At 40.0% G+C, this 17,589-nt stretch overlaps 1 long non-coding RNA gene across 7 annotated transcripts in view, besides 2 other annotated features; it reads right to left on the bottom strand.

Annotated features, from left to right (window-relative positions):
* LOC112268071 (uncharacterized) overlaps positions 1 to 17,589 on the bottom strand; it is a 57,527-nt gene that overhangs the window by 25,771 nt on the left and 14,167 nt on the right. The window lies entirely within an intron of this gene.
* Positions 15,825 to 17,024: an enhancer, noted in NCBI's record as "P300/CBP strongly-dependent group 1 enhancer chr11:5943920-5945119 (GRCh37/hg19 assembly coordinates)". NCBI's record gives its function as "activates an origin of replication core promoter dependent on BRD2, BRD4, P300/CBP, MED14 and CDK7 cofactors, with strong dependence on P300/CBP, by STARR-seq in HCT116 cells {active_cell/tissue: HCT116}" and the evidence as "EXISTENCE:reporter gene assay evidence [ECO:0000049][PMID:35650434]".
* Positions 16,270 to 16,459: an enhancer, noted in NCBI's record as "active region_4334". NCBI's record gives its function as "activates an Ori minimal core promoter by ATAC-STARR-seq in GM12878 lymphoblastoid cells {active_cell/tissue: GM12878}" and the evidence as "EXISTENCE:reporter gene assay evidence [ECO:0000049][PMID:35858748]".

Here is a 17,589-nt window from a genome sequence, read left to right on the forward strand (position 1 = left end):
GTAATTCTGTTTATATGGTGTATCACATTTATTGACTTGCAGATGTTAAACCATCTCTGCACACCTGGTATAAAACCCACTTGACCATGGTGGATTATCTTTTTGATATGCTGTTGGATTTGGCTCGCTAGTAATTTGTTGAGAATTTTTGCATCTATGTTAATCAGGGATAGTGGTCAGTAATTTTCTCTTTTTGTTATGTCCTTCCATGGTTTTGATATTAGTATGATACTGGCTTCGTAGAATGATTTGGGGAGGATTCCCTCTTTTTCTATCCTGTGGAATAGTGTCAATAGGATTGGTATGAATTCTTCTTTGAATGTCTGAGGATTCAGCTGTGAATCTGTCTGGGCCTGGACTTTTTATTGTTGGCAATTTTTAAATTACCATTTCAACCTCACTGCTTGTTATTGGTCTGATCAGAGTTTCTATATCTTTCAGGTTTAATCTGGAGGGTTGTATATTTCTGGGAATTTATCCATCTACTCTAGGTTTTCTAGTTTATCCACATAAAGGTGTTCATAGTAGCTTTGAGTAATCTTTTGTATTTCCGTTATGTAAGTAGTAATATCTCCTGTTTTATTTCTAATTGAGCTTATTTGGATCTTCCCTCTTCTTTTCTTGGTTAATCTCACCAATGATCCATCAATTTTATTTATCTTTTCAAAGGAGCAGCTTACTGTTTTATTTATCTTTTATATTTTTTGTTTGTTTGTTTCTTTTTTATTTAGTTATGCTCTGATCTTGGTTATTTCTTTTCTTCTGTTGATCTGGGGTTTGGTTTGTTCTTGTTTCTCTAGTTTCTTGAGGTGTGACCTTAGATTGTCTATTTGTGCTCTTTCAGATTTTCTGATGTAGACATTTAAGGCTATGAACTTTCCTCTTAGCATTCTTTGCTGTATCCCAGAAGGTTTGATAGGTTGTGTTACTACTGTCATTCAGTTCAAAGAATTTTTTAATTTCCATCTTGATTTCACAGTTAACCCAATGATCATTCAGAAACAGGTTATTTAATTTCCATGCATTTGCATGGTTTTGGGGGTTCCTTTTAGGGTTGATTTCCAATTTGACTCCACCAGGGTATGACAGGGTACTTGATATAATTTTGATTTTCTTAAATTTACTGAGACTTGTTTTGTGGCCTATCATATGGTCTATCTTGTAGAATGTTCCATGTGCTGATGAATAGAATGTATATTCTGCAGTTGTTGGGTAGAATGTTCTGTTAAATATCTGTTAAGTTCATTTTTTGTAGGGTATAGTTTAAGTCCATTTTTTTTTGTTGACTTTCTGTCTTGATGACTTGTCTAGTGTTGTCAGTGGAGTATTAAAATACCCCACATTATTGGGTTGCCATCTATCTCATTTCTTAGGTCTAGTAGTAATTGCGTTATAAATTTGGGAGCTCCAGTGTTAGGTGCATATATATAGGATTGTGAGATTTTCCTGTTGGACTAATCCTTTTTTCATTATATAATGTCCTTCTTTGTCTCTTTTAACTGCTGTTGCTTTAATGTTTGTTTGGTCTGAATAGCTACTTCTGCTCGCTTTTGGTGTCCATTTGTATGGAATACCTTTTTCCACTCCTTTACCTTAAGTTTATATGAGTCCTGATCTGTTAGGTGAGTCTCCTAAAGACAGCAGAGACTTGGTTGGTGAATTCTTATTCATTCTGCCATTCTGTATCTTTTAGGTGGAGTATTTAGGCCATTTACATTCAATTTTAGTATTGAGATGTGAGGTACTCTTCTGTTCATTACGCTATTAATTGACTGAATGCCTGTTTTTTTTCATTGTGTTATTGTTATATAGGTCTTGTGAGATTTATGCTTTAAGGATGTTCTATTTTGATGTATTTTGAGGATTTGTTTCAAGATTTAGAGCTCCTTTTAGCAGTTCTTGTAATTCTGGCTTGGTAGTGGCAAATTCTCTCAGCATTTGTTTGTCTGCAGAAGACTGTATCTTTCCTGCATTTATAATGCTTAGTTTCACTGGATACAAAATTCTTGACCGATAATTGCTTTGTTTAAAGAGGCAAAAAATAGGATCCCAATTTCTTCTAGCTTGCAGGGTTTGTGCTGAGAAATCTGCTGTTATTCTGATAGGTTTTCCTTTGTATGTTACTTGATGCTTTTGCCTCATAGCTCTATTATTTATTTAGTTAGTTAGTTAGTTAGTTGGACTCTCGTTCTGTCACCCAGGGTGGAGTGCAATGGTGTGAACTCGGCTCCCTTGCCTCCAAGGTTCAAGTAATTCTCCTGCCTCAGCCTCCCCGGTAGCTGGAACTACAGGCACATGCCACCACACCCAGCTAATTTTTGTACTTTTAGTAGAGACAGGGTTTCACCATGTTAGCCAGACTGGTCTTGAACTCCTGACCTCAAGTGATCCGCCTACCTAGGCCTCCCAAAGGGTTGGGATTACAGGTGTGAACCACCACTCCCAGCCTTGCCTCACAGCTCTTAAGATTCTTTCCTTTGTCTTGACTTTAGAGAACCTGATGACTGTGTGCCTAGGTGAAGATCTGTTTGCGATGAGTTTTCCAGGTGTTCTTTGAACTTCTTGTATTTAGATGTCTAGCTCTCTGGCAAGGCTGGGGAAGTTTTCCTTGATTATTCCCTCAAATATGTTTTCCAAACTTTGAGATTTCTCTTCTTCCTCAGGAACATCAATCATCCTTAGGTTTGGATGCTTAACATAGTCCCAAACTTCTTGGAGACTTTGTTCATTTTTTTAATCATTTTTTCTTTGTCTTTGATGGATTAGATTAATTTGAAAACCTTGTCTTTGAGCTCTGGAGTTATTTCTTCTGCTTGTTCAATTCTATTGCAAGACTTTCCAGTGCATTTTGTATTTCTCTAAGTGTGTCCTTCATTTCCAGAAGTTGTGTTTGTTTTTTTATTTATGCTGTCTATTTCACTGAAGATTTTTCCTTTCATATCCTGTATTATGTTTTTGATTTCTTTAAGTTGGATTTCACCTTTTTCTGGTGCCTCTTTGATCAGCTTAATAATTGATCTTCTGAATTCTTTTTCTGGTAATTCAGAGATTTCATCTTGGTTTGGATCCATTGCTGGTGAGCTGGTTTGATCCTTTGGAGGTGTTAAAGAACCTTGTTTTGTAATATTACCAGAATTGTTTCTCTGTTCCTTCTCATTTGGGTAGACTATGTCAGAGGGAAGATCTGGGACTTAAGGGCTGCTGTTCACATTCTTTTGTCCCATAGGGGTGCTCCCTTAATTTGGTGTTCTCCCCTTTCCCCTAGGGATGAGGCTTCCTGAGACCTGAACTGCAATGACTGATTTTGCTCTTCTGGGTCTAGCCACCCAGTGTAGCTACAGGGCTCTGGGCTAATACTGGAAAGTGTCTGCAAAGAGTGCTGTGATGTGATCTGTCTTCAGGTCTTTCAGCCACAGATACCAGCACCTGCTCCGGTGGAGGTAGCAGGGGAGTTAAGTGGAGTCTGTGAGGGTCCTTAGTTGTATTTTTGTTTAGTGCACTGGTTTTGTGTTGGTTGGCCTGCAGCCAGGAGGTGGCATGTTCAAGAGCACATCAACTACAGTACTAGAAGGAGGATGTATACTTGCCCTGGGGTTGTCTGGTTACGTATTCAGGTTTCTCAGGTGGTGGGCAGCGCCATAGAGCTCTCAGGATATTATGTCCTTTGTCTTTGGCAACCAGAACGGGTAGAGAAAGACCACCAGGTGGGGGCAGACATAGGTATGTCTGAGCTCAGACTCTCCTTGGGTGGAGCTTGCTGCAGCTGCTGTGGGGAATAGGGGTGTGATTCCCAGTCCAATGGAGTTATGTTCCCTGGTGGATTGTGGCTGCCTCTGCTGAGTCATACAGGTCACCAGAGAAGTGGGACAAAGACAGCAGTCACAGGCCTCACCCCATTCCCATGTAGCCACAGTCCTAAATGCTGGTCTCACTTCCATCATGCCCCACCTACCACACCAAGTGTTTCCAGGCAGCTGGTGACCAGTTCTGAGAACTTGCCCCAGACCGTCAGCCACCCCACTGAGAAAGCAAGCTGATTCAGAGTTTTTTGGCATCTCAAGGAGCCTGCAGAAGCAATCCAGTTCCTTCAAAGGGTCTGTGGATTATCTCAGCTTACCTGGCATGTTCCTGCAGTAATTCTTGGAGAAAAGTTAATGATGTGAGTCTCTACATGCTGCCCTGTCTCTGACTAGCCTCCTATTTGCCATCTTAATCTCAGTCTTGATTCTGTGTTTGTATTTTTATCTTTCTTGACTGAATAGTGTATAAAGAAATGTATCACACTATGATTTTTTTTCAAAGTAGCACATTTTTGGTTTTGTTTTTTTTCCTTTTTCTGTTCATTTTCTATCTTATTGAGTTCGGCTCATTTCTATTATTTTCTTCCTTCTATTTTTTGAATATGCTTTTCCCATCTTTTTCTAGATTTGTAAGGCAGAAGCTTATAGAATTGATTTCAGACTCTCATTTTTTTCCTAATAAAAATAATTAATATGCTTAATGCTCCATTCACAGCAATCTGGGCTTTTTCTACCTTGCTTCTCCAAATTCTTCAAGCTTCTATCTATTACCCAGTTCAAAAACCACTTCCATATTTTCAGGTATTTGTTGTAGCAACAACTCTACTCCCAATATCAATCTTCCTGGTACTGTTTTGTGCTACTATAACAGGATATCAGAGACTGGGTAATTTATAAACTATAGAACTTTATTTGGCTCACAGCTCTGGAGGCTAGAAAGTCCAAGGTCAAGTGACCTGCTTCTGGTGAAGGCCTTGTCACTGGGTCATCTCATGGCAGAAGGCAGAAGGGCAAGAGTGTATGTGCATGAGAAAGAGAGAAGAGAGAGAATTAGAAATGGAGAGTTGAATCTGCTTTTATAACAAACCCACTCCCACGATAGCAGCACTAATTCATTCATGAGGGCAGGGCCCATGTGACATAATCGCCTCTTAAAGGTCCTACCTCCCAATACTGTTGCATTGGGGTTTAAGTTTCCAACACATGAATCTTGAGGGACATTCAAACCATAGCAGCCATATTATACTGCCATCATTCTACTTTAAGTTATTGTGCCCTTCTTTATACAATTAATTCCCCAAAAGCAGAGATGAATAACATTTGATCTTTTCTCACAAGACCAAACAGTGATTGTCACTTAATCTGACTGAGCAGATTATTCTGTTATGTAAAACTTTTTAAAACTAGTTTGATGCACTAATACTTTCCACAAACCTTCTTACATGATTTCCCACATATTTAAATGACTTGTTTATGAAATTTTTCCTCTTTGGTCAGTTGCTTGACGATCTGATCAGTGCCTTGTTATTGCTTAGCAACGACTGTTGTATTGAGGTTTCCAAGTTTCTCCAGAACTGTTTTGCCAGGTCCCAAGCTGGCAGAACTGAATGCCTTTAGCGTCCTATTTCTCCTGACTATGCGGCCAATGTCATCCTCCATTATTTTGTTTCCAAATAAGCAGCCAGATCCTTAGTAGCTCATTGACTTTCAGAATTCATTGAGAACAGAAAGACAAGGTATCTTCTGGTATTTTGAGAAAATATATGTCCTTTGAAAAGTTAGCTTTAGGAGATACACCTAATGCTAAATGACGAGTTAATGGGTGCAGCACACCAGCATGGCACATGTATACATATGTAACTAACCTGCACATTGTGCACATGTACCCTAAAACTTAAAGTATAATAATAATAAAATAAAATAAAAAATAAAAAAAGAGAAAAGTTAATGCTAAACAGAGAATAGAAGTAAGAAAATGCAGTGTCTTTGAATTGGAAAAAGAAAGATTGTACTTCCTCTCCACCAACAAAAAGACAGAAGAAAGAGGAGAACAAATGAATTTTCTGACTTGAAGTTATAATCCTACGAGGGAAAAAATGCTGCTCAGTAACTGCAGGAGTTCTTGACCACTGGAACCTCCCAGGTGTCAGCTTTTTCACAAAATATTGGAATATTTGAATAAATCTGGGATTATCTAAGGGAGGGCAGTTGGGAAGACCAGTTGGGTCAGAGAAGCAATCATAACACATATTTAATATACCTTTATACTGATGGATGAAGCTTCAAATTGACAGTTGAGCAGATTGTCATTAAATAACGAAAAGTACCTAAGTTTTTATCCAAAGCTTAATTGTTCCTCTCTTTGCTCCTAAAACTCAACATGCTTTCTCTCTTAGTACAGAACCTCTGCATGTGTGTAGTTTTCACTGCCTAAAATAATCTTTTCATCCTTCTTTGCTTAGGTGATTCCTATTTTTCTTTCTTGTTCAACCTACTTAGGTTTACTTAAAATGACCTTACCCAACCTTCAATATTATGTTAGGCTGTCAGGCTCCACTGTAACAGGCTTCTACTGTAGCACCCAGAAAGTTTCTTTCTTTGAAATAACTGACCACAACTGTATTGAAGTGAGGCTCAATGCCTACTTTTCCATTATACATTATACTTCCTATTAATGGGGACAGATAATATTTACAAAGTACCATATATCAGGCACTATGATTAGTATTATTCATGTTACATCATTTAATAAATGCAATTAACATGAGATACATGCTAAGTTTATGACTATTTTCCGGAGGAGGAAATAGATGCACAAAGACATAAAAACAACTTGATAAAGGCTTCACACACAGCAAGTAGTGAAACCAAAATTTGAACCCAGGAAGTATAATTCCAGCATCAAGGTGTTAACTACCACTTCACCTTCATTTATGAAAGTACAAAACAATGTAGTTCATCTTTGTAAATAAGAAAAGCTCAATATTTATTACATGAAATATCCACCATACCTCTTTAACTGCTATTTCAATCAGAATTCTTACTTTCAAGCAACAAAAAATAATTCTAGATATTTTAAGCAAAGAAAAATTATTGAAAAGATGATGGATACCTCACAGAATCACTAGGAAAACAGAAAAGTAATAAAATAAAAGAAAATAAAAATACAAACCAAGTAACAACCAGGACCTCTGTAAAATTAATCCAGAGAACTAATTCTGTGCTGAAGTGTTATTGCAACCACTGCTGAACTTCAGATGACATGGTTTATATAAATAGTTCTTTTGTGTTTATTTCAGATGGTTTTCGAACATTGATCAAGTAACTATATATAATAGTGACCACTGTGGAAAATCATTTTGATTTAAAATTTTAGTAGTTAATACATATGATTCAGTTATAATTTTAGAAATTTTTGAGGATTTATGTCTCGAGAAACTTCTCTGAAGTTCAATTTACAGTTAAAAGCATCATAAAAGCGATTTTAAGTGAATGTTTTATAGTGTATTTTAATATAGTAGACATTATAATATGTTTTAACAGAATAAGTAATGAAAATAATGTTTTTCTAACTAACACACTCAATCCTTTTTGTTTGTTTGATAGCCCTCTTTTTACACTAGCATGTACTAGGAAACCATAGGTAGACAGTAAATGCAAACAAGAAAATAATTTTTCTACTAATGTACATACTGATATCAAAAGGACACAAGTCCTAACTTTTTTACATTTATAATATTGTCTTTCACAAGATTGTGGGCATAGCTCAACTAATGTTTACTGATTTATATTAATGATAGCAAAATGTTAGAATACGGTAACTTTTTGAAGATGGCCGAATAGGAACAGCTCCAGTCTACAGCTCCCAGCGTGACCAATGCAGAAGATGGGTGATTTCTGCATTTCCAACTGAGGTACCGGGTTCATCTCATTGGGGAGTGTCAGAAAGTGGGTGCAGGACAGTGGGTGCAGCGCACCGAGCGTGAGCCAAAGCAGGGCAAGGCACTGCCTCACCCAGGAAGCGCAAGGGGTCAGGGAATTCCCTTTCCTAGTCAAAGAAAGGGGTGACAGACAGCACCTGGAAAATCGGGTCACTTCCACCCTAATACTGTGCTTTTCCAATGGTCTTAGCAAATGGCACACCAGGAGATTATATCCCGCGCTTGGCTTGGAGGGTCCTACACCCACGGAGCCTCGCTCATTGCTAGCACAGCTGTCTGAGATCAAACTGCAAGGCGGCAGTGAGGCTGGGGGAGGGGTGCCCGCCACTGCCAAGGCTTGAGTAGGTAAACAAAGTGGCGTGGAAGCTCAAACTGGGTGGAGCCCACCGCAGCTCAAGGAGGCCTGCCTGACTCCACCTCTGAGGGCAGGGCATAGCCAAACAAAAGGAAGGAGAAACCTCTGCAGACTTAAATGTTCCTGTCTGACAGCTTTGAAGAGAGCAGTGGTTCTCCCAGCACGCAGCTGGAGATCTGAGAACGGGTAGACTGCCTCCTCAAGTGGGTCCCTGACCCCTGAACCCCGAGCAGCCTAACTGGGAGGCACCCCCCAGCAGGGGCATACTGACACCTCACACAGCAGGGTATTCCAACAGACTTGCAGCTGAGGGTCCTGTCTGTTAGAAGGAAAACTAACAAACAGAAAGGACATCCACACCAAAAACCCACCTGTACATCACCATCATCAAAGACCAAAAGTAGATAAAACCACAAAGATGGGGAAAAAACAGAACAGAAAAACTGGAAACTCTAAAAAGCAGAGCACCTGTCCTCCTCCAAAGGAACGCAGTTCCTCACCAGCAACGGAACAAAGCTGGATGGAGAATGACTTTGACGAGCTGAGAGAAGAAGGCTTCAGACGATCAAATTACTCTGAGCTACGGGAGGATATTCAAGCCAAAGGCAAAGAAGTTGAAAACTTTGAAAAAAATTTAGAAGAATGTATAACTAGAATAACCAATACAGAGAAGTGCTTAAAGGAGCTGATGGAGCTGAAAACCAAGGCTCGAGAACTACGTGAAGAATGCAGAAGCCTCAGGAGCCGATGCGATCAACTGGAAGAAAGGGTATGAGCAATGGAAGATGAAATGAATGAAATGAAGCGTGAAGGGAAGTTTAGAGAAAAAAGAATAAAAAGAAAGAACAAAGCCTCCAAGAAATATGGGACTATATGAAAAGACCAAATCTACGTCTGATTGGTGTATCTGAAAGTGACAGGGAGAATGGAACCAAGTTGGTAAACACTCTGCAGGATACCATCCAGGAGAACTTCCCCAACCTAGCAAGGCAGGCCAACATTCAGATTCAGGAAATACAGAGAACGCCACAAAGATACTCCTTAAGAAGAGCAACTCCATGACACATAATTGTCAGATTCACCAAAGTTGAAATGGAAAAAATGTTAAGGGCAGCCAGAGAGAAAGGTTGGGTTACCCACAAAGGGAAGCCCATCAGACTAACAGCAGATCTCTCAGCAGAAACTCTATAAGCCAGAAGAGAGTGGGGGCCAATATTCAACATTTTTAAAGACAATAACTTTCAACCCAGAATTTCATATCCAGCCAAACTAAGCTTCATAAGTGAAGGAGAAATAAAATACTTTACAGATAAGCAAATGCTGAGAGATTTTGTCACCACCAGGCCTGCCCTAAAAGAGCTCCTGAAGGAAGCACTAAACATGGAAAGGAACAACCGGTACCAGCCACTGCAAAAATATGCCAAATTGTAAAGACCATCAAGGCTAGGAAGAAACTGCATCAACTAACGAGCAAAATCACCAGCTAACATCATAATGACAGGATCAAATTCACACATAACAATACTCACCATAAATGTAAATGGGCTAAATGCTCCAATTAAAAGGCACAGACTGGCAAACTGGATAAAGAGTCAAGACTCATCAGTGTGCTGTATTCAGGAAACCCATCTCATGTGCAGAGACACACATAGGCTCAATATAAAGGGACGGAGGAAGATCTACCAAGAAAATGGAAAACAAAAAAAGGCAGGGGTTGCAATCCTAGTCTCTGATAAAACAGACTTTAAACCAACAAAGATCAAAAGAGACAAAGAAGGCCATTACATAATGGTAAAGGGATCAATTCAACAAGAAGAGCTAACTATCCTAAATATATATGCACCCAATACAGGAGCACCCAGATTCATAAAGCAAGTCCTTAGTGACCTACAAAGAGACTTAGACTCCCACACAATAATAATGGGAGACTTTAACACCCCACTGTCAACATTAGACAGATCAACGAGACAGAAAGTTAACAAGGATATCCAGGAATTGAACTCAGCTCTGCACCAAGCAGACCTAATAGACATCTACAGAACCCTCCACCCCAAATCTACATAAAATACATTCTTTTCAGCACCATACCTATTCCAAAATTGACCACATAGTTGGAAGTAAAGCACTCCTCAGCAAATGTAAAAGAACAGAAATTATAACAAACTGTCTCTAAGACCACAGTGCAATCAAACAAGAACTCAGGAATAAGAAGTTCACTCAAAATCACTCAACTACATGGAAACTGAACAACCTGCTCCTGAATGACTACTGGGTACATAACAAAATGAAGGCAGAAATAAAGATGTTATTTGAAATCAATGAGAACAAAGACACAACATACCAGAATCTCTGGGACACATTCAAAGCAGTGTGTAGAGGGAAATCTATAGCACAAAATGCCCACAGGAGAAAGCAGAAAAGATCTAAAATTGACACACTAACATCACAATTAAAAGAACTAGAGAATCAAGAGCAAACACATTCAAAAGCTAGCAGAAGGCAAGAAATAACTAAGATCAGAGTAGCACTGAAGGAAATAGAGACACAAAAAACCCTTCAAAAAAATCAATGAATCCAGGAATTAGTTTTTTGAAAAGATCAACAAAATTGGTAGACCGCTAGCAAGACTAATAAAGAAGAAAAGAGAGAAGAATCAAATAGACACAATAAAAAATGAAAAAGGGTATATCACCACTGATCCCACAGAAATACAAACTACCATCAAAGAATACTACAAACACCTCTATGCAAATAAACTAGAAAATCTAGAAGAAATGGATAAATTCCTCGACACATACACTATCCCAAGACTAAACCAGGAAGAAGTTGAATCTCTGAACAGACCAATCACAGGCTCTGAAATTGTGGCAATAATCAATAGCTTACCAACCAAAAAAAGTCCAGGACCAGATGGATTCACAGCCGAATTCTACCAGAAGTACAAGGAGGAGCTGGTACCATTCCTTCTGAAACTATTCCAATCAATAGAAAAAGAGGGAATCCTCCCTAACTCATTTTATGAGGCCAGCATCATCCTGATACCAAAGCCTGGCAAAGACACAACCAAAAAAAAGAATTTTAGGCCAATATCCTTGATGAACATTGATGCAAAAATCCTCAGTAAAATACTGGCAAACCGAATCCAGCAGCACATCAAAAAACTTATCCACGATGATCAAGTGGGCTTCATCCCCGGGATGCAAGCCTGGTTCAACATACACAAATCAATAAATGTAATCCAGCATATAAACAGAACCAAAGACAAAAACCACATGATTATCTCAATAGATGCAGAAAAGGCCTTTGACAAAATTCAACAACCCTTCATGCTAAAAAAAACTCTCAATAAATTAGGTATTGATGGGACGTATCTCAAAATAATAAGAGCTATCTATGACAAACCCACAGCCAATATCATACTGAATGGGCAAAAACTGGAAGCATTCCCTTTGAAAACTGGCAAAAGACAGGGATGCCCTCTCTCACCCAACATAATCCTATCTCTGCTGCATTCCTGCTACCTTAGTGTAATGGTTCTGTTAATGAACTGTAGACATACAAACCTCTTGGTCTTATAACAAAATGGTATAGGTTTAGTTTATCATTGTTATTGATTTTAGACTGAGGGAATGATGAAATCAGTGCCATACATGGAGTGCTTAAAACTGTAATGCCAAACTAACGGTCTTTCTTTATCTGTCATGGAGAATTAGAGGACAAAGTTTGGGACAACAACAGCTGCTAGAAAGAAAGACAAAAATTTAGAAAGTATAAAGCCAAGTATGGAAAGCTCAAATTCTATATATAAACTTTGCCATGTCTTTGGTTAATTCCTGAACCAAGCATGCATAAAGCAGACACAAAGACATTCAGATAAAAATAAGAGGTGAGCAAGACGGCTGAACAGGAACAGCTCCAGTCTAGGGCCCAGCGTGAGCGACGCAGAAGATGGGTGATTTCTGCATTTCCATCTGAGCTTTGAAGAGAGTAGCAGTTCTCCCAGCACACAGCTGGAGATCTGAGAACGGGCAGATTGCCTCCTCAAGTTGGTCCTTGACCCCCGAGCAGCCTAACTGGGAGGCACCCTCAAGTAGGGGCAGACTGACACCTCACATGGCTGGGTACTCCTCTGAGACAAAACTTCCAGAGGAACAATCAGGCAGCAGCATTTGTGGTTCACCAAGATCCGCTGTTCTACAGCCACCGCTGTTCTGCAGCCACCGCTGCTGATACCCAGGCAAACAGGGTCTGGAGTGGACCTCTAGCAAACTCCAACAGACCTGCAGCTGAGGGTCCTGTCTGTTAGAAGGGAAACTAACAAACCGAAAGGACATCCACACCAAAATCCCTTCTGTACGTCACCATCATCAAAGACCAAAAGTAGATAAAACCACAAAGATGGGGAAAAAACAGAGCAGAAAAACTGGAAACTCTAAAAAGCAGAGTGCCTCTCCTCCTCCAAAGGAATGCAGCTCCTCACCACCAACGGAACAAAGCTGGATGGAAAAAGACTTTGACGAGCTGAGAGAAGAAGGCTTCAGATGATCAAACTACTCCAAGCTACAGGAGGAAATTCAAACCAATGGCAAAGAAGTTAAAAACTTTGAAAAAAAATTAGACAAATAGATAACTAGAAGAACCAACGAAGAGAAGTCCTTAAAGGAGCTGATGGAGCTGAAAGCCAAGGCTCAAGAACTACGTGAAGAATGCAGAAGCCTCAGGAGCTGATGTGATCAACTGGAAGAAGGGGTATCAGTGATGGAAGATGAAATAAATGAAATGAAGCGAGAAGGGAAGTTCAGAGAAAAAAGAATAAAAAGAAATGAACAAAGCCTCCAAGAAATATGGGACGATGTGAAACATAGTGTTGGAAGTTATGGCCAGGGCAATTAGGCAGGAGAAGGAAATAAAGGGTATTCAATTAGGAAAAGAGGAAGTCAAATTGTCCCTGTTTGCAGATGACATGATTGTATATCTAGAAAACCCCCATCGTCTCAGCCCAAAATCTCCTTAACCTGATAAGCAACTTCAGTAAAGTCTCAAGATACAAAATCAATGTGCAAAAATCACAAGCATTCTTATACACCAATAACAGACAAACAGAGAGCCAAATCATGAGTGAACTCCCATTCACAATTGCTTCAAAGAGAATAAAATACCTAGGAATCCAACTTAAAAGGGATGTGAAGGACCTCTTCAAGGAGAACTACAAACCACTGCTCAATGAAATAAAAGAGGATACAAACAAATGGAAGAACATTCCATGCTCATGGGTAGGAAGAATCAATATCGTGAAAATGGCCATACTGCCCAAGGTAATTTATAGATTCAATGCCATCCCCATCAAGCTACCAATGACTTTCTTCACAGAATTGGAAAAAACTAAAGTTCATATGGAACCAAAAAAGAGCCCGCATCACCAAGTCAATCCTAAGCCAAAAGAACAAAGCTAGAGGCATCACGCTACCTGACTTCAAACTATACTACAAGGCTACAGTAACCAAAACAGCATGATACTGGTACCAAAACAGAGATCTAGACCAATGGAACAGAACAGAGCCCTCAGAAATAATGCCGCATATCTGCAACCATATGATCTTTGAAAAACCTGACAAAAATAAGCAATGGGGAAAGGATTCCCTATTTAATAAATGGTGCTGGGAAAACTGGCTAGCCATATGTAGAAAGCTGAAACTGGATCCCTTCCTTACACCTTACACAAAAATTAATTCAAGGTGGATTAAAGACTTACATGTTAGATCTAAAACCATAAAAACCCTAGAAGAAAACCTAGGCAATACCATTCAGGACATAGGCATGGGCAAGGACTTCATGTCTAAAACACCAAAAGCAATGGCAACAAAAGCCAAAATTGACAAATGGGATCTAATTAAACTAAAGAGCATCTGCACAGCAAAAGAAACTACCATCAGAGTGAACAGGCAACCTACAAAATGGGAGAAAATTTTTGCAACCTACTCATCTGACAAAGGGCTAATATCCAGAATCTACAATGAATTCAAACAAATTTACAAGAAAAAAACAAACAAACCCATCAACAAGTGGGCAAAGGATATGAGCAGACACTTCTCAAAAGAAGACATTTATGCAGCCAAAAAACACATGAAAAAATGCACATCATCACTGGCCATCAGAGAAATGCAAATCAAAACTACAATGAGACACCATCTCACACCAGTTAGAATGGTGATCATTAAAAAGTCAGGAAACAACAGGTGCTGGAGAGGATGTGGAGAAATAGGAACACTTTTACACTCTTGGTGGGACTGTAAACTAGTTCAACCATTGTGGAAGTCAGTGTGGCGATTCCTCAGGGATCTAGAACTAGAAATACCATTTGACCTAGCCATCCCATTACTGAGTACATACCCAAAGGATTATAAATCATGCTGCTGTAAAGACACATGCACACGTATGTTTATTGCGGTACTATTCACAATAGCAAAGACTTGGAACCAACCCAAATGTCCAACAACGATAGACTGGATTAAGAAAATGTGGCACATATACACCGTGGAATACTATGCAGCCATAAAAAATGAAGAGTTCATGTCCTTTGTAGGGACATGGATGAAGCTGGAAACCATCATTCTCAGCAAACTACCACAAGGACAAAAAAACCAAACACCGCATGTTCTCACTCATAGGTGGGAATTGAACAATGAGAACACATGGACACAGGAAGGGGAACATCACACACCAGGGCCTGTTGTGGGGTGGGGGGAGGGGAGAGGGATAGCATTAGGAGATATACCTAATGCTAAATGACAAGTTAATGGGTGCAGCACACCAACATGGCACATGTATACATATGTAACAAACCTGCACATTGTGCACATGTACCCTAAAACTTAAAGTATAATAATAATAAAAATAAATAAAAAATAAAAGAGGTGAGTTAGTATTTGAACTGCTATTCAAGAGCATGATTTTGTAGATTGCATTGAACCAGGTTAATTCCCCTGCTAAAACAAACACTTCAACACTGTTTGGAAGACTATAACAGAATCCATAGCATCCACAACATAACATTTACAGTATTCAGCACACTATCCTAAATTTCCCGACATACAAAGAACTAGAAAACAATAATCTGGTCTCAATAGAAAACATAATCAAATGAGACCAAAGACCAAATTCAAGATTACTCAAATATCAAATTAGCCACTGAGAAATTTCAGAAAGCTAATATATCTATGCCCATTGAAGTGAAGGAAAATATATAGTGATAAATGAAAAGATAATAAATTTTAGAAGCGAAATAATATCTTAAAAACAAGTGAAAATTCTAAAACAGAAAAATACACCTTACATTAAAAATCTACTGAATGTGCTGAGCAGCAAAGTGGATATGACAGAACAATGAGCCAGTGAACTTGAAGATGGCATGATAAAAATTATCTAATCTGAAGATGGCAGAATACATGCCTACCCCTTTCATCCCCCCAGCTGGAACACCAAATTTTAACAACTATCTGCACACAGAAGAGCACTATCACAAGAACTCAAAATCAGGTGAGCAGTCACAGTACCTGTTTTAAACTTTATACGATGGAAAGAGGCATTGAGGAGGGCAAGAGAGACAGTCTTAAATCAGATTCCACTCCTCCCTCATTACCCCCTCACCCCCTACAAATGGCAGCGGCTGTGCTTTGTGGAGAGAGAATCTGTTAACTTTGGGGAGGAAGAATGCATTGACTGGGAGACTTTACACTGAACTCAGTGCTGCCCTTTCACAGCAGAGAATAAAGCTGTGCTGGGCCCAGCCAGCACCCACAGATGGCGGGAGCATATGGACCAGCCCTAGCCAGAGAGGAATTGCCCATACCAGTGGTCAGAACTTGAGTTTCTTGGCAAGCCTTGCCACTGTGGGCCAAAGTGCTCTAGGGTCCTAGGTAAACTTGAAAGGCAGTCTAGAACACAAGAACTGAAATTTCTAGGCAACTCCTAGTGCCAGGCTGGGCTTAGAGTCAGTGAATTAGGGAGTCATGTGACCTAGGGAGACACCAGATGGCATGGCTAAGGGAGGGCTTGCACATTCTTTCCCAAACCCCAGGCAGTGCAGCTTGCAGCAATGAAGGTGACTCCTTCCTTCTGCTTATGGAGAGGAGAGCAAAGAGTAAAGAGGGCTTTGTCTTGCATTTTGGATACCAGCTCAGCCACAGAGAGGGCACCAGGCAGAGTCATGAGGCCTCCATTACAAGCCCTAACTCCCAGACAACATTTCTAGACACACCCTGGGCCAAGATGGAAACCCCCAACCTTGAAGGGAAAGACCTGATCCTGGCATGACTCATCATCTGCTGACTAACGAGCCCTTGTGTTCTGAATAACCACCAGAAATACCCAGGGAGTATGCCATGGGCCTTGGGCCTTCAGACATACATGCTGGCTTCAAGGGTGACCTAGCACATTCCTAGCTTTAGTGGTTATGGTAAAAATAAAAATAAAAATAATAAAACACCTCCTGTTTGAGGAAATCAGAGGTAAAAGTAAAGGGTAACTTTCTCTTGCACTCCAGGTACCAGCTTGGTCATAGTGGGGTAGAGTAACAAGCAGCCTCTTGGAGTCCCTAAGTCCAGGCCTAGGCTCTTAGACAACATTTCTGGACCTGCCTGGGCTAGAGGGGAGCCCCCTGCCCTGAAGGGTGAGTCCCAGGCCTGGCAGCATTCACCATAAGCTGACTAAAGAGCTCTTGGGCTTTAAGTGAACATTGGTGGTGGCTGAGCAGTTATCTTGTAGACTGGTGGTGACAGTGGCCACAGGGAGAGGCCTGTGGGAGAGGCTTTCCTGCCTGTGGAAAGGGGATGCATGAGTGTGAAAAACTTTGTATTGTGGTTTGAGTGCTAGCTTAGTTGTACTAAGATAGAACATCAGGAAAACTACTAAGGTTTTTGACTCTAATCCCTGGCTCCCAGATAGCATCTTTGGACATACCCAGATCCTGGGGGAACTCAGCACCCAGAAGGGAAGGGTCTTAAGCAAGGCACAATGCTGTGCTGATGTCAGGTCTGACTCATCACAGTCCCAGTGCTGGTGGCCCAGGGATGCTTGCATCACCACACTCCCAGATCCAGATGGCTCAGCACAGAGACAGAGACTCCATATGTTTGAGAAAAGTAAGGGAAAAGAAAAAGAATCTTTGTTTGGTAATCCAGATAATTATTCTGAAACATATCCAAGACCACCAAGGTCATACCTCTACAAGTCTGCAAAAAACAAGTATTATTGGGTTTGGGCCCCAAGTCCTTTTAATTACCTGGAAATTGAAGGATAGGTACAAAGAGACTGTGGAGACCACAATAAATACCTAACTCTTCAATGCCCAGACACTGAAGAACATCTAAAGCATCAACACCATCCAGGAAAACATGGCCTCAACAAATGAACTAAATAAGGCACCAGGGAGCAATCCTGGAGAAACAGAGATATGTAATCTTTCAGATGGAGAATTCAAGGTAGCTGTTCTGAG

Source organism: Homo sapiens, chromosome 11 (genome assembly GCF_000001405.40).
Source record: "Homo sapiens chromosome 11, GRCh38.p14 Primary Assembly".
Taxonomy (NCBI): Eukaryota; Metazoa; Chordata; class Mammalia; order Primates; family Hominidae; genus Homo; species Homo sapiens.